The 26,057-nt window shown below is 35.5% G+C and overlaps 1 long non-coding RNA gene and 1 pseudogene across 3 annotated transcripts in view; one reads left to right on the top strand and one right to left on the bottom strand.

Moving 5' to 3' along the window:
- The first annotated feature begins 7,647 nt into the window (after positions 1 to 7,647).
- LOC107986438 (uncharacterized) overlaps positions 7,648 to 26,057 on the top strand; it is a 28,207-nt gene continuing 9,797 nt past the window's right edge. The window contains exons 1-3 of one of the 3 annotated variants that reach the window (XR_001742828.2): positions 7,648 to 7,887; positions 10,629 to 10,713; positions 14,225 to 14,334. This is a non-coding gene — a long non-coding RNA (uncharacterized LOC107986438). Of the gene's footprint in view, positions 7,888 to 8,730; positions 14,335 to 26,057 lie in introns of those variants that run through there. The other 2 variants (XR_007058890.1, XR_001742827.1) reach the window with 2 other exon arrangements.
- GTF3AP4 (general transcription factor IIIA pseudogene 4) lies at positions 8,829 to 9,716 on the bottom strand (annotated as a pseudogene).

Below are 26,057 nucleotides of genomic sequence, written 5' to 3'. Positions count from 1 at the left end.
TGACTTGAGCCCAGGAGTTGGAGACCAGCTTGGGCAACACAGTAAGATCCTGTGTCAAAAAAGATAAATTGACATAAGCAACTGAGGAATACTTAGAGTCTGTGATATAATAACTATACTTACGTTAGTAGAGGAAAAAACAATTTATATTAATTATTTGGTTGTTTCTGTGAAGTCCAAAATTAAATAATTTGAGAAGTTGAATTTTAATGCATGGAATGTTGCTACTCACACAGAAAATGTCCATAATAGGAATTACTTTAGAACAATTTTTAAAACCTCCTAAAATGATTTATATTTTTAAAGCAAATTGGCCACAGAAAAATATTACAAATACAGTATTTTTTCCTAGATATATAATCTCACTTTGAATGTCCTTGAAGGATACTTTAAAATAGGGAACAAATTCATCTCCATTCACTTTATTTCCTCAGTTCCTCATTAGAAAATGTATAACGTGAGCTGTTCTCAATGACTATCACACAGACACAAACACACACACACGCACAAACACGTAAATAATAAAACTAGTTCCATTGGGACCTCAGTACATATATCTATGCATAGTGGCAGCTGGTCTTTGGCTTTTGACGTCAGTGACTAATTTCTGCTTATTTATTACTTGCTGTTCTGCAAATGCACTAAGACAAACATTCAGTAAACACTTGGTAAGTAGCTAAGTACTGAGTAACCACCATAATCTAATGTACTCATGAGATTTTGCTAAAAAAGTAACACAAAATATTTTGCCTTGTGTATCCAGAAGTTTTTTGCCAGGTATAGCTCTGTCACTAATACAGAGTTCAGACCTGTAAACCAGCATCTTATAGAACTCACTGAGTAATTCCAGTAGTTTGTCAGTGATCTTCATTAGCATTTAGTTTTTTGAGAAAATTATTATATTATCTGCCAATAGTGACACCTGTAATGCTTGCTTTAAAAAATATCCATGTCTCTGATATACAAATGCAACTCTAGGGTCGCGGGTCACATTTTTGCTTATGGAAGATTTTTAAATTTTTGTGACAAATTTTAAGCAAGTGATGGTAGGTGTTTTGAGGAAGGGGCTGATTTTCCTTATCTATCCAATTTGTTTGAGGCTGGTCTGAACGATTGGGTGGGTTTAATCTCTTTTTCTTATTTCCCTCTACATTTTATTTGTACTATTTCATAGCTTTTATATTCTTCTTTGAGTGATATTTATTTGTGAACTTTTAATTTTTACTTATAAACTGGAAGTTTGAGTGTAGAGTTTGTGTTTTTTACTTTCCTCTATATTCCCTGAAATGTTGGTGACATCAATTTTACATTTTAGAGGTAAAAAATTTGGATAAGCATAATTGAGTGCATTTCAGTTGAAATGGATGTTGGTTGGGAGAAAGCAATGCAACCTATTAGCTACAGCCAGACCATTTTCTCAGATCAGATTTGTTTCCAAAGCTCCCTCATTATTCCCTTTTCCTCTTTCTGCAAGATAAAGAGAGGAGCTAATGAACCCTTAGCAGTCAAAAGACAAATTTCCTCCTCAAAAAGGATAGCACTGCTTATTCACAGGGGCACACTGTGTGAACCAACCCTACTCAACCCACCAATAACTTTGTGGACTGGAAATACCTCTGTTCATTAACACATAGGGAGACTTGGGCCAGTGCTGTTACTGGCACAAGCATTCCCATAATGATGAACTTTCTTATTCTCACAGCATCTTTTCAGTAAAGCTTGTTATTTCATATATATTTTTTTATTTTCAAATTAGTTTGTTGGTCAAAGCCTCAGAACACATGAGTGTTCCAAGAGTGGCTGGCAGAGATATCTTTGGATTAGAAATAAGTGAGGTATTTTTTATGCGCAAAAAAAGTTTATTTTCAATTCCAGCAACTACACATGCTGTAGTCTATTTTATACTCACATTTATTTCAGATCAAAGTGTCATCTGATGTAGAGCAGTTCAGTGGGCTGTGCTCTTTTCAGCCTGACAAACAGCAATTTTGTGCAGTAGGAAGTTCTTATTAAGCTGTGGTGGGTTAGGGACTCCAGGGATAAGAGAATTTTCCTAAAAGATTGGCTGAAGCATTTGTGTTAGCTTAATTGTACATTTGCCCTTTGACTAAAATTAGGGATTAAGTCCCTTCCCTGGGAACTGCATCTTAAGTTAGTAAGAAGCTAGATGGCACATTCTAATTAGATCTTTTATATTTCATACTGCCATGAGGTTTTTACCTTGACAACAGCACACCGTTCCATTATGCTCCGTTTTAGAAAAGATTTTCCCTTCATACTTTATGTAAGGCTGCCTCTGTCTTATATTAATAGTGGCTCACCAGTTGTGACTGTACATTGTGTAGGAGGTTGGCTAGCAATTGAGTTGTGGTTATGCTACATAGCACCTTTCCCTTTCCCTTATTTCATTTTGTCAACTTCAACACAGCATGGCTTTGCTTAACAAAGAACTTTCTGAGGGTCTCAAAGCTGGTCAGGTGGCTCATTAATAATGTCTCTCAATGTTTGCTTGATCCAGTTTGGGCAATACTTCAGAATTCTCAGCATCACCTGAAAACATCTTCAATTTTTGCATTGTTTTGTCAAAATAACATTCTTGAACAGAAATATCTGTTACCATAGAAGCTAAGATTATATGGTTTAACAGCATAAAAAGAACTTAACTAAAAAAAATGGTGATGGTATTCAAAACTACATATAATATTATGTTCCACTGTAATATATGCTTTTTTCTTAGTGAACAAGAGAGTACTGATTATTAAGGATTATTTGTGGGAACAGTACTCATTTTGTCTTTTTTTTTCCTTCTCTTGGAATTTTTATTGTTGCTGTTGTTCTGGATCCTTTGTAACCTGTTCCCGGGAGAAAAAGGAGAGCCACATTCTCATTGAGTTATAATCTCATGTTTCCCAGGTACCCAAATCCTCCCACTGATGCTTGCTTGTACTTCATGACTGAGAAATGAGTCACCTATACACATAACTAAGAAAATGACATGCTGTTTTGCAGTTAGGCAAGATTTCCTGCATAATGGTCACGTAGAAACAAGAAATTATTTCCTTCTGCAGAAAAGAATTCTTTATTTGTTTTTAGTTTAATTTCTTTTGAAACAGGGTCTCACTCTGTTGCCCAGGCACAGATCACTGCAGCCTTGACTCTTTGGGCCCAGGTCATCCTCCCACCTCAGCATCTTGTGTACCTGGGACTCCAGGCACGTGACACTAAGCCCAGATAATTTTTTGTAGAGATGCGGGGTTTCACCATGTTGCCCAGACTGGTCTTAAACTACAGGGCTCAAGTGATTCACTAACCTTGGTCTCCCAAAGTGCTGGAATTAAAGGTATGAGCCACCACTCCCGGCCTAAAATAATTTTTAACTTACAATCTGTAAAATAAGGAAATGAGAAAACTAAGTTCTAAGATCCCATTTGGAACAAACATTATATGAACCTATAATTATGTCTTTCTCTAAAATAAGAATATATTACTAAATTGTATTTTTTCTAGGAAACAGGCAGCAGGCTGAAATCATAGAAGGAAATAGAAAGAAAATATAAAATGTCTGCTTCACTATTAATTAAAACGAACACTTAAAAATCTTTAAATTGGACTTTTTCTTAAATGTGTGAAGGCAGCATATATCTCATTCTCTTTCTGAGGCTTTCTATGGCAATTCTCCTCTATGAGGGGCAATGTGAAATGCATCAATGCTGCTAACCCTTTAAGCCTATTCCCAAATGCAGGGCTTATCTTCTAACCAGGCTATGGAATTATTTCCCTTTGTATTATAATAATTTATATAGAAACTTTTATCTCTTTGAGTTTTAATAAGTTGAGTTTATGACTGATATTTCAGACTCTAAAATAGAATGCATTTTATGGCCTTCAGGCATAGTTCTTATACAGCAAGATGAATAACAAAATCAAATGCTTGTCATACATTAAAGTTGAACACAGTTAAAAGTGCTTTAGATACTCAAAACTTACCAGAACTGATGTTAGCACAACAGTGGAAGTAAAAAATTGCATTCCTTTAAAATCTTATTTGTGATATTAAGATGAATCTATATTTCTTAACTCTCTCATACCCTTTTATATCAAGGGCTTTTGCAATATGTCACTTATATAGTGATGGAGGTCTCAAGAATTTCCAATTGGTAAAATAATTCACATGTTATTACCTAGAATTGCAATCTTCTTATCCAATTTTGTACAATTCCTTAAAAATCTATGTAAGAAACCATCATAATAGGTTTACTGTGACTTAAAGAATAAAAGAAAAGTAACCCAACATGTAAAATACTTCCAGGAATACTACCTTCTTTGCAATAGTATTTATTTTTCCTTTTCAACTGTCAAATGGATCTAGAATTTTGACCTGTCCTTCAATAACTGCAGTTCCAGATGAATGAAATTATGATAAGAAAAAAATAACATTTTAAAACATGTGTTTTAAAAATGTTTCTATAACTACTCAAATAATAGAGGAACACAATGTGGGAAAAATGTCAAACCTTCCCACATTGTAGTGGGAAGTGAAAATAGCATTGTACCTTCATATAATCCTATTTTCCTCCCTAGAAATAACCACTGGTATAGCCTAGTTTATACATGTCCAGACCTTACTGTATTAATTTACAAACACCACACACATAAACACACATGCTTTTTGATACCCTGTTTCTAGTAGAGATTTTAATGAACCAAATTAGATACGTAATTTTCTCTGAATTGCATTTGATGTCAATATGACTTGGAGATTTGCTCGTGTCAGTCTGTTTAAATTTACTTATTTCTTTTAAAATATTAAACAGAATTCTGTGGTATATGTGTACTTTATTTTACTCAATCATCTTTTTTGATGGCATTTTGTTTGACTTCAAGTTTTTGAAATTAAAATGTGTTTTTAAATCTTAGACTTCTAGAAGTATTATTTTTTTCTAATTCTTTGAAAATACAGCTTTTCTTGCATTTATTACTGAAATTTATGTTTTTAATATTGCTTGAGAAATATTTCTGACTTTTAAAATGAATATTCAATTTTCTTCACAACATTTATCGGGTAGCCCATTTTTAACTAAGTATTTGAAACTTCATCTCCATCCTACAATATTTTTCAATGTACGCAAAAACCACTTTTGGTCTTGCTGTAAACCTACTAACAAAAACTCTGTAACCTAAATTATCATTAGCTACTGTCAAAACTCCATTAAATGCTGTGCAGATATCAATGTCTCAGTGACACATGAAGAATATACTTTCTTATAATACAGGTCTTAAATTTATCTCTTTATGGTTCAGCTACTGAGACCTGCCCTCCTCAATTCTTTCAGATATTTGAAAATGATTTGAACGTGGGGATAAGCTTAGGGTAATTAGGCATCCAAGAGCAGTTTTCTTTAAGGCCTGTACTTTGCTTTTTTGAGTCTTCTCAGGATCACTTCCTCTCTCAGAAATTAAATGCTATTCTACTGCCCCCAGCTACCTAGAAATATGTGTGAAATCCATAGAGACCTCCTACAGGCCGACCGAGTTCACTTGTCCATGCATCCTTCATTTAATTAAACATGTATTGTTCTTATGCTATGTCTAAGGCACTTCAAAGTAATAAATGTTATATGACATGTTGATGCTACACTGCCCAATTAAAGGGCAAATGAGAAAGATAGAGAAGCAAGGATTGTAACACTCCTGGGTCTAGCAGCATATCTAATCATTACTGCATTGTTAGGGTTGGCTCGCCAAGGAATAGAAATTGCAGAATCCCTTATATGGGAAATAAAATAAATTTTAGAAAGGAGGAAAAAATGCACAAGAAAATTAGAAAAATAATATCCACGATTGAGTATTAGAGAAAGCACATGTTAATTACTTATTTTCAGGATGGCAGCTCTGCCTTTAAATCTCAGGATTACTAGAAAGATGAGATGTAAATGCTAATACATACCAATTTAGGGGGAGAAGATGGGATTCATCAAAACCAGTTAGAAAAACTGACTAATAATTGTGTTGTAAAAAAAATTCAAAAGGATTGTAATGGGAAAAAAAAATGAGGGTTCTTATCTCTGGGAGCCCTTATATTCATTCTATTGGAAGTTTAAAACGTAATCTAAATTAAGGAACATGCATTCTATACATATTCTTCTGATTTTCTCTAACTTTAAAAAATGCCTTTAATTATCCTGTAAAATTTCCTGTGATCACTTTCCACATCTTGTCAATTTTACCAAGGGGAAGGGGAATTATAAGAAAAAGAAAGAACTGGAAGAAATTGTAAGGCAAGAAATGACAATTCTACAACCTGATTCCCTCTGACTAGAGGCATTCTCATTTATGCAGCAAATTTATGTGTGTGTCTGTGTGTAAGCATATATACATAATTAGTTGTCTTCTTGTGTTAGGACTAATTTAATGCTCTAGTTTCTGCTGATATTGGAATCGTTACTATTCATGTGTTATTTCTCCTATTTGCTTTCCTATATTTATTTGAATTTTTTTCTTATCATTGAATTTTGAGTTTTTTTATATTTTGATACAAATCATTTTCTAAAATATGTGATTTGCAAATAGTTTATCCTAGTCAGTAACTTATTTTTTATTTTCTTAACAGTGTCTTCTGACAAGCAAAGTTGTTAGTTTTTATGAAGTCTAAGTGGTCGATTTTTATTTTTAATTTATTCAATGTATATCAACAGAAATGTATTCAATTTAAATAACTTATGGAACTGAGCTTATGATGTATTATCTAAGGTTTACATACAAAGTCTAAGGTCATAAATATGTTCTCCTATGTTTTACTCTAAAAGTTGGGGTGGTTTCAGTTTTTGCTTTGCTTCTAAGCCTGTAATGCATTTTGGGCTCATTATTGTACATGCTGTAATTTTGGGACCAGCTTAATTTTTTGAATATGGATATTCAAATTTTCAGCAAGAATTTTTGGTAAAAACTATCCTTATTTCACTAAGTTGCATTTGCAACTCTGGAAAATAGACTTACATGGTTATGTCTATTTCTGTTCCTTTGACTTGTCTATTTAGACACCCATACCATCCTTTCTTTCCTGGAGAAGCTTTAGAATAAGTATTGAAATCAGGCAGTGTAATTTATCCAACTTTGCTCCTTTTATTTCAAAATTGATTTTAACTATTCAATTTCCTTGCCATTTCCACATGAATTTTAAAACCAGCATTATTTTATTAAATATCTGCTGCAATGTTGAATACAATTGCCTTTAATTTATAGATTGATTTGGGGAAAATTGATATCTAAATAATATTAGTCATCCAGTCCATAGACACATAAAGTTCTTCATTTTTCTTCAAATTTCTCTCTGAAACATTTTTCAGTTTTTACCGTATATGCTCTTCAAATATTTTGTCAGCTTTATCTCTAAGTATTTCATTTTTGATGCTCTTGCCTATATATATAGAAAGAAATTAAAATGTCTCCGTGTGTATGTATACACACCCAAATATATACACACACATAGAAACATTTTCATTTCCAATTGTTCATAACTAGTATATAGAGACATAGTTCATTTCTCTATGTTACTTTTACATAGGTTTAAACTCCATGATAGATTATTTTGTTTCAATACATTAATTGTATTTGTAACATTTCATATAACAAGGAAAGTGTCTTTATATTTACCTACGTAGTTTCAATTTCTGGTGTTTTTCATTCCTTTCTGTGGATCTGGAATCCCATTTGGTATCATTTTCATCTGTCTTAATGTCTTTGGCAGTTTTTTTGTGACTAGGAGGGGTGTGGCAAAACATTCATCAGGAACTACCATCTGTCCCTAGATCTTGATTCACACCGAAGAAAAGCCATCTCTACAACTATTGGCTGTGGTCAAAAATGCCAACGTCTTTGGCATTTCAGGTAACCTAGATCTGTTGGTAATACAGTCTTTAAGTATTTGTATGTCTGAAAAGTCTTTATTTTGCCTTTAATTTTAAAATGAATTTTTACAGGAGACATAATTTTAGGTATATCTCTTTTTTCCCCCTCAACACTTTAAGGAATATATCTGATCCATTGTTTCTGACAAGAAATCACATTTGCTGTTTGTTTGTTTTTTTTACTGTAGCCCACAGCTGCTTTTAAGATTTTGTCATCACTCTTTAGGAAATTTGCTTATGATATATCTTCGTGTTTTGTCTAGTTTTGATTTCAGACTTGTGCTTGAGGTTCTTTGAGCTTCTTGGATCTGTGAGTTTACAGTTTATATCAAATTTCAAAAGTATTCAGCATTATTTATTAAGAGTTTTAAAAATTCAAAATTTATGAATAGCTTAATTTCACATGTTCTCAGTCCTGTAGAGTTGTTCCACAGTCCACTGATGCCCTTTTATTTTTTCAGTCTTTTTTCTGTCTGTGTTTCATATTGGATATTTTTAATTATTTATGTATAAAATTTATCAACTTATGAATCTTGTATTCTGCAATATCTAATCTTATGGAATCTTTTGCTGTGTATTCCAAATTTCAGAATGTTTTTTAGAATCTCTAGAAATTTCCTTTGGGCTTTATTTTCTACGTCAGTGATTTTATTTTTATTTATCTTTTTTTTTTTAGAGACAAGGTGCAGGGTAGGGGTGGATGTCACTCTGCACCCAGGCTGGGGTGGAGTGGAAGAATTATTGCAGCCTCAAACTCCTGGGCTCAAGGGATCCTCCCACCTCAGCCTCCCAAGTAGCTGGGTTTAGGTGTGAGCCACTGCAATAGTGATTTATAAAGGAAAAAAACATGCTTCTGACAGGAAATAGCTAAGTTCCTCAGTCTATAGTTCTTTAAACAAAGCAATCTGAGATTTAGCTGGGGGTAAGTATCACAACTGCGCAGAGCACCTTGTCTTCATACAATTCAGTGACTCTCCATTTGTAGGCAAAGATAAGCCTTGTTCCTGTTTTGTTTAGGAGGGATATATGCAATGACATGAGAAGCAAAACTATTTTCCATAAGATTGTTTTATTTTGGTCATTTTATTTTCCTATCAGAATCATGTACATGCATAACTACTGAGACTTTGTTTCATTGCAAACCTTTGCCACCACCAGCATGTTCACACATAAATGAATGCTCCGCTTCATGAAAAGAGAAAATATGGTTCTGGAGTTTAAACAGTTGTGAAGGTTTTACCACAGCCTTCTCTTCGCCATCAGCATACATCCCTTTTGGAGGCACGAGTTTTCATGTGCTGCTTAAGACAATCTTTGCATTTGAATGTTTCCAGAGACATATTTCACATGTTTCCTCTCATGCTTCATGTGATACTGTCTCTTTGGGTTTCTCTCACATTTCAAGAAGCTCTGTCCATGGTTTTACCTCAGAGGAAAGTCTTGTCTGACACACAGAACCCTCTGAACCTTTCTCCTTCCTTTCCACCTGCTGGGTGAAGCAAAGTGTCTCCCACATCCTCCATGGTTTTCTTGAAGAGTGTTTCACCAATATACTGGCACTGAAAAATTTTCAGCTGCAATGTTTCTTAAAGCTCATGTTCCAAAGTTCAAAATTACGTACACATTATTTTTACTGATTTGATTCTGTTTTGAATTTTTGACCACAGCCAATAGCTGCAGAAATGGCTTTTCTTCTGTGTGAATCAAGATCAAGGGACAGATGGTAGTTCCTGATGAAGGTTTTGCCACACCCCTCATAGTCACAAAAAAACTGCCTCTTCCTCACCCTGTGTGTTTGCCCAGCATGCTTTTAGATTCTAGGTCCTGTAATTGGCAATGACATTGGGGAAGAAGGGGAACATCTCTCAGGAACTGCAGAGGTGATACAGGGTAGGGCTGGGCTCTCACAGTCTAAGGGGAACTACACTGCCTGGATCACCCAAGCAGACAGCTCCAGGGCAGTAGCTTCTGCACCAAGGATGGACACTGCCTGCTCCAGCCCTCAGGACGAACTCCAGATGCAACCTGAGTGCACTTTCAGGAGTGGCCCAGGGTTGGGTGTGTGGGAGTTGAGTCTTTTTTATATCTTCCCTAATTCTACATAACATAAAGTCTAATTCGGCCTTTCCTGTAGCTTGTTAAACATATAGAGTACAATTATAATACAAGATAAAACTTTCATTTATAATACTCCATCTGTGTCTTTTGGGGGTATTTTTCTATCAGTTGATTTTCATTTTATTGTGGGTTGTACTTTTCAGCTTATTTGCATGACTGTAGTTTTTCATCAAAAACAGACGTGAGGAATTTTATCTCATACTGCAAATTTTTGTATTCCAGTAAATACTACTGAGCTTTGTTCTGGGGTGCGGTTAGATTTCTTGGATATTGTTTAACTCTTCAGGACCTTTATTTAGAGCTGTTTTAGGTGGAGGCAGAGAAGCCTTTAGATTAGGATGAATTGTGACTCCTACAGATTCAAAAACTTTATGGATATTATTCTGAACAAATTTTGAAGCTTTCTAATTTAGTTCTTGGGAATAGGATTGATTCCCAGTCCCACGTGAGCTTGGGGCTTTTTCTCCTTAATACTTTCATAAATTTCTTACTAGGAATTGTTCCTCCTAATCTTTTTTGTTGTTGTTGTTTTGTTGTTGTTGTTGTTGTCTCTCGTATTCTGCCTTGCTAACAATTGCTGCCTTGGTCTCCTTGGTCTCCTAGATTTATCTTCTTAAAGAGACAAGAATACTAAGTTCCACATGGACTCGCCATCCTCAAATCGCTGGCTGCGTACTTTCTCCATGCAGTAAGCTGGGCCAACATATGACTCACTTTGTTCAATTATTTTCTCTCTCAGATCACTAACCTTAATTGTCTGATAACCTATGTCTTAACAACTATGGTTTCACATGTGGTAATGGTTTTATTGTTATTTTGGGGTAAAGGATAAATCTAGTCCTATTATTGTATCTTAGCTAAAAACATTTTAAAAGTTTTTAATTTAAGTTTTAATTAATTTAAGTTCATCTGTCTCTTATCTTTTATTATTTATAAATATTGTGTCCTATCAAAAAATATTTGCTTCCTACAAATATTTCTGCTCAATTTTTTAATATATTTTTTGTAGTTGTAACCCTTACACTTAGATCCATTATTTATACTGATTTAGTTTTGTGTATAGAATTTGGTAACATGTAGGTTCATTTTTATGCATTTAGATATTTAATAGTTTCATCAAAATGTCTTGAAAGTTCATCCTTTATGCATTGAATTACCTTGGTAGTTTTATGAAAAATTAATTTACCCTATGTGTGTTTTTCTATTTTGGCCTTCCTATTATTTTATACTAGTCTATATTTCTACCATTATATCAATACCACACTGCTTTTGTTGATATAGCTTTGCAATAAGTCTTGAAATCAGGTAATTTTAATTATCCAACATCGTTTTTCTATAAAGTTTAAGAGAGGCTTGCTGATTTCCATTTTGGTTTAGATGACTTTAAAATTGTAAATAAATTTAGAGAGATTTGAAATCTTTACAATATTGGGTCTTCTGATCCATAATGATACTACTGTTCTTAATTCACTTAGGTCTTCCATAATTTCCCTTAGCAATATTTCATACTTTTCATTGTGCAAAACTTGCACACTTCCTGTTAAATATATCCCTAAAAATTTCTTAAATTTGATACTGCTGTGTGGAAGTTGGTTTTCATTCATTTAAATATTCATTTGTTTATTGCTTGCATTCATCAACATGATAAAAGTATTTAATAGTTCTCAAAGCTTTTTTGTAGATTTTTTAAAAATTTTGTACATAGAACAGCATATCATCTGTGATAAAAAAAATTATTAAAGCCCTTATTTATTCAACTTTTGGTACTCTCCTACTTCTTCTTCTGAGACCAGTAGACAGTATTACACAATTTGATACTGTCACACTAACCAACAAGGCTCTGTTTGTTTTTAACTCTTATTTTTCTCTATGTTTCATTTGGATATTTTATATTGTTTTGTTTTCAATATCACTAGTCTCTTCTGCAATGTCTAATATGCTGTTAATCCAATGCAGTGTATTTTTCATTTTAGATATTGTTTTAAATGGATGGAACTTTATTTGAGCCATTCTACATATATCCTATGCCTCTCATCATTATATTCATCTTTTTCTCTACTGTCTTAAATGTGGTACCTATTTATAAATTTTTTTTAACATCTGTGGTTGATAACCCTATTATGTTGATAATTCTTGGTTCTGTTTCTAGTAGTTTATTTTTTTCCTGAATAAGAGTCATGTTTTTCTGCTTCTTTGCATGCCTGTTGAATTCTTGATTGGGTAATGAACATTGTGGTTTTACATTATTGGGTCCAGAGTTTTATTGTATTCTTTTAGTGTTGGACATTGCTTTGGTATCCATGTAAATACTTTGTCACCAGTTTAATTGTTTCCAAGCATGCTTTTAAGCATTTCTCTCAGATGTAACAGTTTTTTGCTGCCTATTGTTTACTGTCTGAAAACTGTACTTTCATATTTTTTGCATACTTTTGTTTTTATTTTTTAATTTTAAGATTGGAGGGAAAATCTATTCTCTCTTACTCTAGGAGAGGTGCAATTTATTGTTGTTTTAAAGCATTTTTTTCACTTAATATGGGATAAATATTGCTTCACGTAAATGTGCATTTATGGCATTACATTCAATTAATGATTACATCAGAATGTCTGGGTATTTTAACAATTATCAATTCAGAATTTATTTATCTCTAGGTTATTTATAATTTTCCAGAATTAAAAAAGTTTCAAACAGCATCATTTATTGAGAACGAGTTAGAAGTTGTTATGACTTTGTAGATATTTAATTATTTCCTATTTATTTAAAATTCTAATAGCACAATTTGATGGAAACAGTCACTGTCATCTTATTTCTATTTTCAGGGTATTCAGATAGCACATTGGTAAAACTGGGTAACTAATACATTGGCTAAAGGGTGATAACCAAATGAGTTAAGTAATGTACAAAGTCTTAAAATGTACCTAAAGCCACTAACATCAATTAAGAGCATGGAAATAAGAGGAAATACTTAAAAATATATTTTTTAAAATTTTAATTCAGCTTTTACTTGACTAAGTATATGACACACAGATATTAGAGAAAAATTTAATACCATTTACTGACACCATTATTTAAGTATTCTTTATTCCTTTCTGTCTGTAATCTGTGATGTCAGAAGCCAGGAGAGAGCCAAGAAAATATCTTGTAAATGTAGATTATTCTAAGTATCAAGTCACCACAGAGGTGAAAAGAGAGCCAAGTTTAATACTTCCTTCCTCTTTTTATAGCACCTCTCAATTACTTCCATGTGCAACTGATACTTTAAAAACTTTTACCTTCAAGTATTCACTTCTATTTTAGCTTTTGAGATTTGAAGTTGCTGCATGTCAATTTTTAGGCACCAAGAGGCTAATAGTAGAGGAATAAGAACATGATGTAAATGAAGGTCATATTTCCTAGATGTGTTATCATGTCATCTCCAAATTTAAGCAATTTTTATAGTTTCTTACAGTGAATCTGTGGTAACGCTGAAAAATAGAATTTTATAATCTGGGCTCCAATGTCTCTATGGCTTGAAACAGATACTGCAAATCTTGCCTAAGGTTTTAAAAGGAAAAACATAACCCAGAAATGAGATTATAGTCTGCAGTTATGGCAGCATTTGAGTAGCTTTTCTTATTTAAAATACAGAGAATACAATATTGACTGGCATATCACAGCTAAAATTTTTTCTGTCAAAAGACACCCAAACAATAAAGCAAGTTACCAGGAAACTTGTTTAAACGAAAGCCTTCAGAAAGATAATTGAGTAGGTGTAAAGTTGTTAAGAAGAAAATTAAGGCAAGAATGGAATACTAAGGTATCAGGGAGGTAGCAATTGCAGAAAACAACCACCATCTCTAGGGGTAAGGAGAACAAGTGAATAAGTTGAAATTATTAAAATTGAGAAACTTAGAGGAGGGATCTCCAGTATTGAAACTCATATCTCTGAGCGCGGAGTATGGTTCATCTGATACCGTGAGCTTGGAGGAGGGATCCGCTGGGGCTGCGACCAGACTTCTGGCAGGGAGCACTGGTTGGCTAGTGATGGTTCTCTGAGGGCAGAATAATCAGGCTTAATTGGCACGTGGTGGAAAAACTGCAAACTGGACTCAGCTGCTTCAGTGGCTAAGAACTGATGCTGCAGGTGAAAGAAGTTGCTGAGGTGAAATAGACAGGAACAGGAAGCGGACCGGGAGGAATAAGTCCCTTTTTCCTCTTTCAGCTTTCCTCTCTACCTCTTGTACCTCTCATTGGCTGAGCCTACCATGGAGTCAGATGGCAATGATGAATGTGGGGTGCAGAGTGCCAGCACCAGCATCACAGTTTCACAAGGTAGGATTGGAGCTGAGGGACAATAACCCTAAAACTGGCAGAGCAATCTGGTGAATTATCAAACTTTTGTTCTTTGATAATGCAATAGATGAAAACTTACAGCTCATTGTAGTTTTGATTAACATTTTTAAAAAGTAAGTACTGAGATTGAATACCCCTTAATTTTTATAATTGCTTGATTTTCCTTTCTACAAATTGTCTTTTGCTATTTCTTCTTCATGTTTTTCTTTGAATCATTGATTTTGTTTCTTATTCGTTAAAGAAATTAAGCCTTTGAATATGAGTTGCAAATACTTTTTCCCAGTCTGTCATTTATCTTCTGATTTATACTGGATGTTTTATGTATGCATTTTTATTTCTACAGAGTTGGATTTATCAATATTTTCCTTTGTGACTTCAGGGTTTTCCTTCACGTATAGAAAGACCTTTCCAACTTTGAGATTAAACAAAATTCTTCCATTTTTTTCTTAGTGCTTTTATGGTTTTGGTTTTAGGATTCAGATATTTGATCAACTTGGACTTTTTCTTGATATATAATATAAGGTATTAATCCAAATGTGTTTCTTTTTTCCTGCTTTACTAGTCAGATGTTTCAATACCATTTATTGAATAATCTATATTTTCTCCATTGATTTGAAAATTCATTTTTTATTATAATTCCTGTATGGTTTGTTTGTGTCCATTCCTGGACTTTCTAATCTGTTTCATTGATATGTCTATTCATGTGATAGCAGCACAGTGTTTGAATTACATTCTTTCCTTATTATCTTCCCTGTTTAGAATTCTATGTTCATTCTTGAATTTTATTTTCCCCATAGATACATTATAATCAGCTTGTCTAACTTTAGTTCCTGTTGGCCGTTTTATCAGGATCACATAAAAGTAGTAGATTAACTAAGGAAGAGCTGATATTGTTATACTGAATTTTTCTATTTAAGAACATGATATACATTTCAATATGGTTTTCTTCTTTTACGTATTTCTTATTAAGTTTATTACAAGATGTTTATTCTGCCTTTTTAAAAATTCTTATTTGTAACCACATGCATCTTGACTTGGTATCTTCCCCATACCCCAATTAAAAAAAAAATCTTTACAGGTACATGTTCTCAGGACCTCCTTGAGGGCTGTGTCACTGGCCATGGTCACTCATATTTGGTTCAGAATAAATCTCTTCAAATACTAAAAAAAAGAAAAAAAAAGAAAGATAAGTTATGCAAAACTCTTTTTCATTAATATAAACAACTCAGTTAAGTACATTGGGTAAGAAAACAGTTTTGACAAATTTAGCTGTTGATGAAAGTAAAGCCTTTGAGGTACAGAAAGATTATCTCAGGATAAAAGACAGAGAGACAATCGCAGACACATTCTCTCTTTCAGGATTTTAAGATTTAAGGCTATTAGTTGGAATAAAATGTGATGTATCGAAATGCAGTAACAGTCCTATAGATGATTCTAAATAATTTCCTTTTTCGGTTATCTATGGATGTAAAACAAACTATACCAAAACAGTGACTTAAAACACTAGCTATCATTTATTTTGCTCATGAATATGGAAGTTGCCTACACTCAACTGCAATTCTCATTTGTTAACTCATACATTCACATCAAAAGGTGTCTGCAGTCCTCATGAAGGCTTCTTCCCTCACATGTTTTGCACTAGAATGAAAAGATTCAAATATCTGGACACTAAAACCAGTGGAATTATTGGGTCTCTCTCTCTTTCTCTTTTTGTAGTCACTTTCTGTCGTCCTTTCATATAGTGATCATTTGGTAGCTGGCCTTTGTACATTGTAACAGAGAATCCCAGAGAGAACTACTGGAAGATTCATGGCATGTTATAACCTAACCTCAAAAGTCACTCAGAGTCATTTGCACAGCATTTTATTTGAGAATACAGTCATAAATACGCATCTATTTTAAAAGAACAAGCTTTATTTAAATCTCTTTATGGGAGGAGGATTAAAGGATTCATAGACTAACTTGTTCCCCAGTTGGATCAGTAAAAAAGAAAAAAAAATTAACAGACATATTTTTAAACCAAGAAGTTCACATTGAAATTGTTTTGCCTTAGAGAAACGTTATGGTGTTGGGAAAAATATAGTGGATGTAAGCAAACAAACATATTCACATTATCCAGACAACCAAAAAATGCTAAACTTTTAAAGATAATGAGCATATACTTCTGTAGCTAGCCTGCACTTTACCAGCCTAATCACCTAAAGTATAACTAACAATCCAGTAAGAGAAAAAAAGTTAAAGTAGAAATTATTTCCCAGAAATTTATATTTTACAAAAATAAAGTACTTTATGAAATGTTTCTTACACAATTTGGACCTTTGGGTCACATGTTTCAAAGCATACAAATTTTAATCAATGAACATCAGTTTACCATCACTTCAGTCTATCTTAATAGATAAAAAGAGTATGCAGTATTATATAAGGCTTAGGAAAATAAAAATATATTCCACATTTCTAGAAGAATATGGAGTGTATGTATTTTTTAATTTTTTTTAAAATTTATTTGTATACATTTAAGGGGTACAAGTGTAGTTTTGTTATACTACACAACATGGATATATTGTGTAGTGGTGAAGTCAGATATTCTAGTGTAACCATCACCCAAATAATGTACATTGTACCGATTATGTAATTTCTCATCTCTCACCCCTCCCCCACCCTCCTATGCTTCTGAGTTTCCATGTCTAATATTCCCCACTCTATGTCCATGTGTACACATTATTTAGCTTTCATAAATGAGAACATGTGGGATTTTACCTTCTGTTTCTGAGTTGTTTCACTTAAGATAATGCCTTCAGTTCTGTCCAAGTTGCTGCAAAAGACATGATTTCTTTCTTTTACATGACTGAATAGTATTCATTGTATACCATAATTTTTTGTCCAACAATTTGTTCATGGAAACATAAGTTGATTCCATGTCATTACTATTGTGAATAGTGCTGTGATAACCTGCAAGTGTAGATGTCTTTGTGATATAATGATTTTGTTACCTTTGGGTAGATAAATAGTAGTGGGATTGCAGGATCGAAAGGTAGTTCTACTTTTAGTTCGTGAGAAATCTCCATACTGTTTTCCACAGAGTTGCAGTAATTCACTTCCCCAACAGCCATGTATAAGTGTAACTCTATCTCCGCATCCTCACCAACATCTATTATTTTTTGTCCTTTGAGTAACAGCCATGTTTACTAGTATAAAGTGGAATCTCCTTGTGGTTTTAATTTATACTTTTCTGATGATTAGTTATCTTGAGCACTTTCTATATAATTCTTGGCATTTGTATGTCTTCTTCTGAAAAATGTTGAACATGGAAAGATGAGGATATGTAGATTTTTTTCTATTTATTCACTTTTTGGTCGTTTAGATTTTGGCTTCATTTTAACTATTTATTTTGAGATTAATTTTAGATTACAGAAGAGTTGTAGAAATAGAGGGAAGTACCTCTATATATCCTTCACCCAATGGCTCCCTATGTTAACATTTTACATTACCATGAGTATCAACACAAGAAAATAACTCTGGTACCATACTCTCAGCTAAACTAGAGAATTTATTCAATTATCACCAGTTTTCCCACGCATTGTCTTGTTCTTTTCTTGAATATAATTAGTTATTCCACAATACATTTAGTTATCATGTCTTCTTAGCCTCCATATTTGAAACAGTATTAATTTTTCCTTATTTTTCATGACCTAGTGTATTAATCCATTTTCAAACTGCTGATAAAGACATACACAAGACTGGATAATTTATAAAGGAATAAAGGCTTAATGGACTTATAGTTCCACGTGATTGGGGAGGCCTCACAATCACGGCAGAAGGCAAGGAGGAGCAAGTCAAGTCTTACATGGATGGCAGAAGGCAAGGAGGAGCAAGTCAAGTCTTACATGGATGGCAGCAGGCAAAGAGAGAGCTTGTGTCGGGAAACTCCATCTTATAAAACCATCAGATCTCATGAAACATATTCACTATCAGAAGAATAACACAGGAAGGACCCACTCCCATGATTCAATTATCTCCCACTGGGTCCCTCTGACAACATGTGGAAATTCAAGATAAGATTTGGGTGGGGACACAGCCAAACCATTTCATTCTGCCCCTGGCCGATCCCAAATCTCCTGTCCTCACATTTCAAAACCAATCATGCCTTCCCAACAGTACCCCAAAGTCTTAACACATTTCAGCATTAACTGAAAAGTCCACAGTCCAAAGTTTCAGCTGAGACAAGGCAAGTCCCTTCCACCTATGAGCCTGTAAAATCAGAAGCAAGTTAGTTACTTCCTAGATATGATGGGGTATAGGCATTGAGTAAATACAGCCATTTCAAATACGAGAAATTGGCAAAACAAAGGGGCCACAGGCCCCATGCAAGTCAGAAATCCAGTGGTGCAGTCAAATATTAAAGCTCCAAAATAATCTCCTTTGACTCCATGTCTCACAGTCAGGTCACACTGATGCAAGAGTTGGGCTCCCATGCCCTTGGGCAGCTCCACCACTGTGTCTTTCCAGGGTATAGCCCCTCTCCTGGCTTCTTTCACGGGCTGGCATAGAGTGTCTGTGGCTTTTCCAGGCACACAGTGCAAGCTGTCAGTGGATCTACCATTCTTGGGTCTGGAGGATGGTGGCTCTCTACTCACAGCTCCAGTAGGCAGTGCCCCAGTGGGGACTCTGTGCGGGGGATCTGACCCCACATTTTCCTTCTGCACTGCCCTATCAGAGTTTCTCCATGAGGGCCCTACTCCTGCAGCAAACTTCTCCCTGGGCATCCAGGCATTCCCATACATTCTCTGAAATCTAGGCAAAGGTCCTCAAACCTCAATCCTTCACTTCTATGCATGTGCAGGATCAACACCATGTGGAAGCTGCCAAGGCTTGGGGCTTCCACCATCTGAAGCAATAGCCCAAGCTGTACCTTAACTGCTTTTATTAATGGCTAGAATGGCTGGGATGCAGGGCACCAAGTCTCTAGACTGCACAGAGCAGAGAGACCCTGGACCCAGTCCACAAAACCATTTATTCCCCCTAAATCTCCAAGTCCATGATGGGAAGGGCTGCCACAAAGGTCTCTGACATGCTTTGGAGACACTTTCCCAATTGTTTTTGTGATTAACACTTGTCTCCTCGCTACTTATGCAAATTTCTGCAGCTGGCTTGAATTTCTCCTCAGAAAATGAGATTTTGTTTCCTATCCCATTGTCAGGCTGTAAATTTTCTGAACTTTTATGATCCGCTTCCCTTTTAAAACTGAATGCCTTTAACAGCACCCAAGTTATCTCTTGAATGCTTTGTTGCTTAGAAATTTTTTCCACTAAATTCCCTAAATCATCTCCCTCAATTCAAATATCTAGGGAAGAGGCAAAATGATGACAGTCTTTTTGCTAAAACATAACAAGAGTCAGCTTTGCTTCAGTTCCCAACAAGTTCCTCATTTCCATCTGAGGCCACCTCAGCCTGGACTTTATTGTCCATATCACTATCAGCATTTTGGGCAAAGTCATTCAACAAGTCTCCAGGAAGTTTCAAACTTTCACAAATTTTCCTGTCTTCTTCTAAGCCTTCCAAACTATTCCAGCCCCTGCCTGTAAACCAGTTCCAAAGTCGATTCCACATTTTCAGGGATCTACAGCAGCACCCCACTCTACTGGTACCAATTTACTGTATTAGTCTCTTTTTGTGCAGCTGATAAATACAATACAAAGACTGGGTACTTTATCCAGGAAAAAGGGTTTAATAGACTTACTATTCCACGTAACTGGGGAGGCTTCACTATCATGGTGGAAGGCAAGGAGGACAAGCCACATCTTACATGTGTAGGAGATCAGTCAGGGTGGTGGGAAAAATTATAAGAAAATTTCTAGGACAAGACGCAAACCCTCTTGGAAGGCCGGGAGGTTTTGCAAAGCTTCGGGAGAGAATAAAAGCTGAATGCAGCTAATTCCCTTACCCTGATGCAGAGGGTGAGAAGTAGATGCAAGGGAGTGTAAAGGAGTTTATCTAGATAAGTTTATTTACTTATGGTGTCCAGAAACTGACCTTTGATCATCCCCACGCAAGACTGCTCCTTGAAAGGGGGAATAACAATGTTAATTATCCACAGGTTGTGTTAGCTCCAAGCCTTTATCATAAAATCTGTACTGAATAAATACAAGCGACTCAGGCTTATCGAGACTGCACTCTCTCTTCGGCATCTCTAAGCTGAGCAGTCCCTTAGTCACGCTCACGCAAAATATCTGCATACTTCTTTCATCCATCGCTTGTCCAGAGTCTGCAGGACAGACACAGTATACATGGATGTCACCAGGCAAAGAGACAGTTTGTGCAGGGAAACTCTGCCTTTTAAAACCATCAGATCTCATGAGACATATTCACTATCAGGAGAACAACATGGGAAAGAACCACCCCCATGATTCAATTACCTCCCACCAAGTCCCTCCCATAACATGTGGGAATACAAGATGAGCTTTGAGTGAGGACACAGCCAAACCACATCACCTAGAAACTTTTGAAGAATTCTGGTCAGTTACATTATAGAATGTCCTCCAATTTGTTTTCTTCTGAAGTGTCTCCATTATTACATATACCTTATATATTATTGGAAACAATGCCACAACTCTGATATGTCCTTCCTACTCTCTTGTATTGGGTAGTTCTTGGTGAAGATATGTGTTACTGGTGATGTTAACTTGATCATCGGTTAAGGTACTGTCTGCAATGATTCTCCATTGTTACTTTTTTCCCCTTGTAAACATTTAATATTTTGAGAGGGACATTTGAAGCTATGAGATATCTCTTTCTGCTTAAATTTTTACCCACTAACGTTAGCATCATCCCAGTGGACACTGCTTGTGAAAATTATTAATGTGGGGTTTTAATACTAATCGTCTATTTTTATCATTAATTTTACATTTGTTATTCAGACTTATTCTGTCGTGAAGAGATATATCCCTGTCCTCCATTTACTTATATATTTAGTTGTTTGTATCATTATGATCCTAGAAATTTCTCTTTTTCAAGTATTTTGGTTATTTCAGTTCCTTAGATTTCCTATATAAATTTGAGTATAGTATTATTGATATCTACCAAAAAGCCTGAGAGAGTTTTGTTTGAGATTCCATCTAATCAGTGGATTATTTGGGGAAGAACTGACATCTTTACAATATATAAGCACGTACATCTTTACAATATATAAGCATGTATATCAATTCATAAGCACGTATATCAATTCATAAGCACATATATCTCTTCATTAATTTAGGACTTCTTCAGTATATTATTTCATTTTCATGCCTCTGATAAAGACATACCCAAGACTGGGAAGAAAAAAGATTTAATTGTACTTACAGTTCCACATGGCTAGGGAGGCCTCAGAATTATAGTGGAAGTTGCAAGTCACTTCTTACATGATGGCAGCAAAAGAAAAAATGAGAAAGACACAAAAGCGGAAACCTCTGATAAAATCATCAAATCTTGCAAGACTTATTCAGTAGCACGAGAACCGTATGGAGGAAACCACCACAATGATTCAAATTATCTCCCACCAGGTCCCTCTCACAACATGTGGGAATTATGGGAGTACAATTCAAGATGAGATTTGGGTGGGGACACAGAGCCAAACCATATCATTCTGACCCTAGCCTCTCCAAATCTCATCTTCTCATATTTCAAAAGCAATCGTGCCTTCCCAACAGTCTCCCAAAGTCTTAACTCATTTCAGCATTAACCCAAAAGTCCACAGTCCAAAGTCTCAACTGAAGAAAAGGCAAGTTCCTTCCACCTGTGGGCCTATAAAATCAAATACAAGCTAGTTACTTCCTAGATACAATGGGGTACAGGTATTGGGTGAATACAGGTCTTCTAAATGGGAGAAATTGGCCAAAACAGAGGGGCTACGGCCTCATGAAAGTCTGAAATTCAGTGGGGCAGTCAAATTTTAGTTCTCCAAAATAATCTCCTTTGACTCCATGTCTCACATCCAGGTCACATTGACACTCTGATCCAAGAGGTAGGTTCCCATAGTCTTGGGAAGCTCTGCCCCTTTGTCTTTGCAGGGTATAACCCTCCTCCTGGCTGATTTCACGGGCTAGCATTGAGTGTCTGTGGATTTTTCATGCACGTGATTCAAGCTGTCGGTGGATCTACCATTCTGAGGCCTGGAAGATGGTGGCTCTCTTCTCACAGCTCCACTAGGCAGAGCCCCAGTAGGGACTCTGTGTGGGGGCTCCAACCCCACATTTCCCTTCTGCACTGCCCTAGCAGAGGTTCTCCTTAAGGGCTCTGCCCCTACAGCACACTTGTGCCTGGGCATCTAGGTATTTCCATACATCTTCTGAAATGTAGGTGGAAGTTCCTAAACCTCAATTCTTGATTTCTATGCACCTGCAGGATCAACACCACAGAGAAGTTGCCAAGGTTTGGGCTTGCACCCTCTGGAACCATTGGCTTAGCTATACCTTGGCCCCTTTTTGCAATGGCTGGAGCAGCTGGGATGAAGGACACCAAGACCTAAGCTACACACAGCATGAGGACCCTGGGCCTGGCCCATGAGATCTTTTTTTCCTCCTAGGCTTTCAGGTCTGTGATGTGAGGGGCTGCCATGAAGATCTATGACATGTTGGAGATATTTTTCCCATTGTCTTGGGGGTTAACGTTTGGCTCCTTGTTACTTATGGAAATTTCTGAAGCCAGCTTGCATTTCTCCTCAAAAAAGTGGGGTTTTCTTTTATACTGCATCTTCAGGCTGCAAATTTTCTGAACTTTTATGCTGTTTCCCTTTTAAAACAGAATGCTTTTAAAAGCACCCAAGTCATCTCTTGAATGCTTTACTGCTTAGAAATTTCTTCTGCCATATAGACTAAATCATCTCTCTCTAGTTCAAAGTTTCAAAACTTTCTAGGGCAGGGAAAAAATGTCGCCAGTCTCTTTGCTAAAACATAACAAGTGTCACCTTTGCTCCAGTTCCCAAAAATTCCTCATCTCCATCTGAGACCATCTCAGCCTGGACCTTCTTGTCCAAATCACTATCAGCATTTTTGTCAAAGCCATTCAACAAATCTCTAGAATGTTCTAAACCTTCCCACATTTTCCTGTCTTTTTCTGTGCCCTCCAAACTGTTCCAACCTCTGCCTGTTACCCAGTTCCAAAGTCGCTTCCACATTTTTGAGTATCTCTTCAGCAACACCCCACTCCTATTACCAATTTACTGTATTAGTCCATTTACATGCTGCTGATAAAGACTTACTTGAGACTGGGAATAAAAAGAGGTCTAATTGTACTTACAGTTCCACATGTCTGGGGAGTCCTCAGCACCATGACAGGAGGCAAAGGCACTTCTTACATGGTGGCAGCAAGAGAAAAAATGAGAAAGATGCAAAAGTGGAAACTCCTGATAAAACCATCAGATCTCATGAGACATATTAGCTACCCTGAAAACAGTATGTGAGACACCGCCCACATGATTCAAATTGTCTCCCACTGGGTCCCTCCCACAACACGTGGGAATTATGGGAGTACAATTCAAGGTGAGATTTGGGTGGAGATACAGAGCCAAACCATATCATTCAGTTTCTCCCATAAGTAGTTTCTTTTCCTATTTCATTGGATTGATTATATTCCGGCTTGTATGGTATCAGACCATAATTTATATATTTGTTTATCTGTATTTAATTTGCTTTTTTGCCATGTTTGCTTTATTATTCTTTGTCTAATGTTTTCACCAGTTTGAACATAATGTACATACTTCTCTTTAAAAAACACCAATTGTTTGGTTCTGAGATTTGTGTTTTTATAGTTTGATGGTTGTCATTAATTCTGAAATATTCTCAGCCATTCTTTTTTAAACAATTTCTCTTGCCCTATTCTCTTTTATTTTCCTCTAGAATTCTAATTACACATAAGTTAGACCATATGGTATTTCCAGACAACTCTTGAGTGTTTTATATTTTTCTTTTTGTTTTTCAATTGGTATAATTTCTATTGTCTGATTTTCTGATTTGAGTTGATTTTTCCCTCAGGTGTGCCAAGCATACAACGACAGTCTTTATGTCTCTGTTAGTATGTTTTTAATTTCTAGTATTTCCATTTGAATTTTTTTTCTTTTGTTTGATTTGTGTCCTGTACTTGTGTTCTTTCAATAATTTATTTTTTTATTGGTATAAATTTTTCTACTGAAATTCCCAATATGATCCTGCATATTGTACACCTTTTCCATGGGATGTTTTAACATATCAATTATAACTATTTTAAATGCCCTAGCATAAATTCTAATATCTGTGTCATTTAAAATATGGTTTTGATTATTACTTGGTCTCTTAGCAGTGTGCTATCTCAGATAATTTTATTTGTCTTATAGGTTTTGTTGAAAGCCACCTGCAATCTGTTTAGGACAATACACACTGAAGTAAACAGTTTTTCAATGCTGAAAATGATTATACCTTTTCTCTTGAATGCCTTCAGTGCAGGAGTTCAAGCTAACTAATTAATTAATTCAGGTGATGAGCTGAGAAGAAGTATATTGTTGTTATAGTTATTATCTATGCATAATAGGATGCACATTCCTGTAGCAATACCATGTGTTTAGTGTATAGATTGGTTTGACCCTGAGTATTGGCCTTCCTTTTACATTGTGCCTCAGAGAGTGTTATTTTTTGCATGTTCTTATTCTTTTCTTATACTGCTCTCTGCAGTTCTCAATCATTACTTGTGTTTCAAAGCTGGGCGGCTTGGCTCCCAGTACTTGAGAAGCATTCTTAAATGGTTTGATCAAGCTTTAAGTCTTAGGCAGTCACAGTATCCTAGGTTTGGGGAATGGCTCCTACTTATTTCTTTTCACCTCCATTGGCTTAGTTCAGAATCCAGTTCATAGATCTTCACCTGATTCAGGAGTAGATATTTTTCCCATGTTTTATTCTAGATGCAATAAATTTTCTCCAGTATTCTAAAGGCAGTGGTGTATGTTGCCCACCTCTGCATAAATTAAGGCTTTTGTTCTATAGTGGATTTAGAGGAGAAGGGCTCAAGTGGGAGTCTTTCTTCTCTAACAGAACTGCTACTGCCCTCCTCTACATTTGATCTACAATGGAAACTTTCTTAGGACTCATTTGGATAGTTGTTGTGAATACTCAGTGAGATTGTTGATAAACGCTTTCCACAGAGTGTAAAATACCTCAATATCTATGACACCCAGGGCATTACAATATCCCACCAACTCAAATACAGCCTTCAAAAATTTGCATTATATATGCTGAGCTCCTGTTGCAAGTGCCCATTTATGTCTTCAATAAGTAAACCAGCGCTCACTTCTCTCTCCCTCCAGGTTTCTCTGCTCTCTCTGTAGGTTGCTGTCTCTAATGAAATTTTGGGGCAGTGGGTTGATCTGAATGAAAAACATGCAAACTGTTTTTCCTAAACTTTCACTCCACAGTCAACATAGAAGACTTCTGTGACTAAATGTGTAGGTATTTTTCCCCCACATGCCAAGAAAGCAATAAATTCTGCAACTGGATGTGTTCTAATTCAAGTCTGGCACTGTCTCCCTGGAGATATCATCAGATCCTACAGGTTGAGGGCTCAGTCCCACAAAATTGCCTTCCACTTCTGATGCCAACCATAAGCCCCAGGTTTTTTTTACCTGTGTTTATGATTGACCCACTATAAATTGGGGCTTTCACAGCACCTCTCTGGGTTCAGTTAATTTGCTGGAGTGGCTC

The sequence above is a fragment of the Homo sapiens genome, chromosome 5 (genome assembly GCF_000001405.40).
Source record: "Homo sapiens chromosome 5, GRCh38.p14 Primary Assembly".
In the NCBI taxonomy this organism is placed as follows: domain Eukaryota; kingdom Metazoa; phylum Chordata; class Mammalia; order Primates; family Hominidae; genus Homo; species Homo sapiens.
The sequence above is the reverse complement of the archived record's forward strand: the minus strand, read 5'-3'. Positions and strand labels throughout refer to the sequence as shown.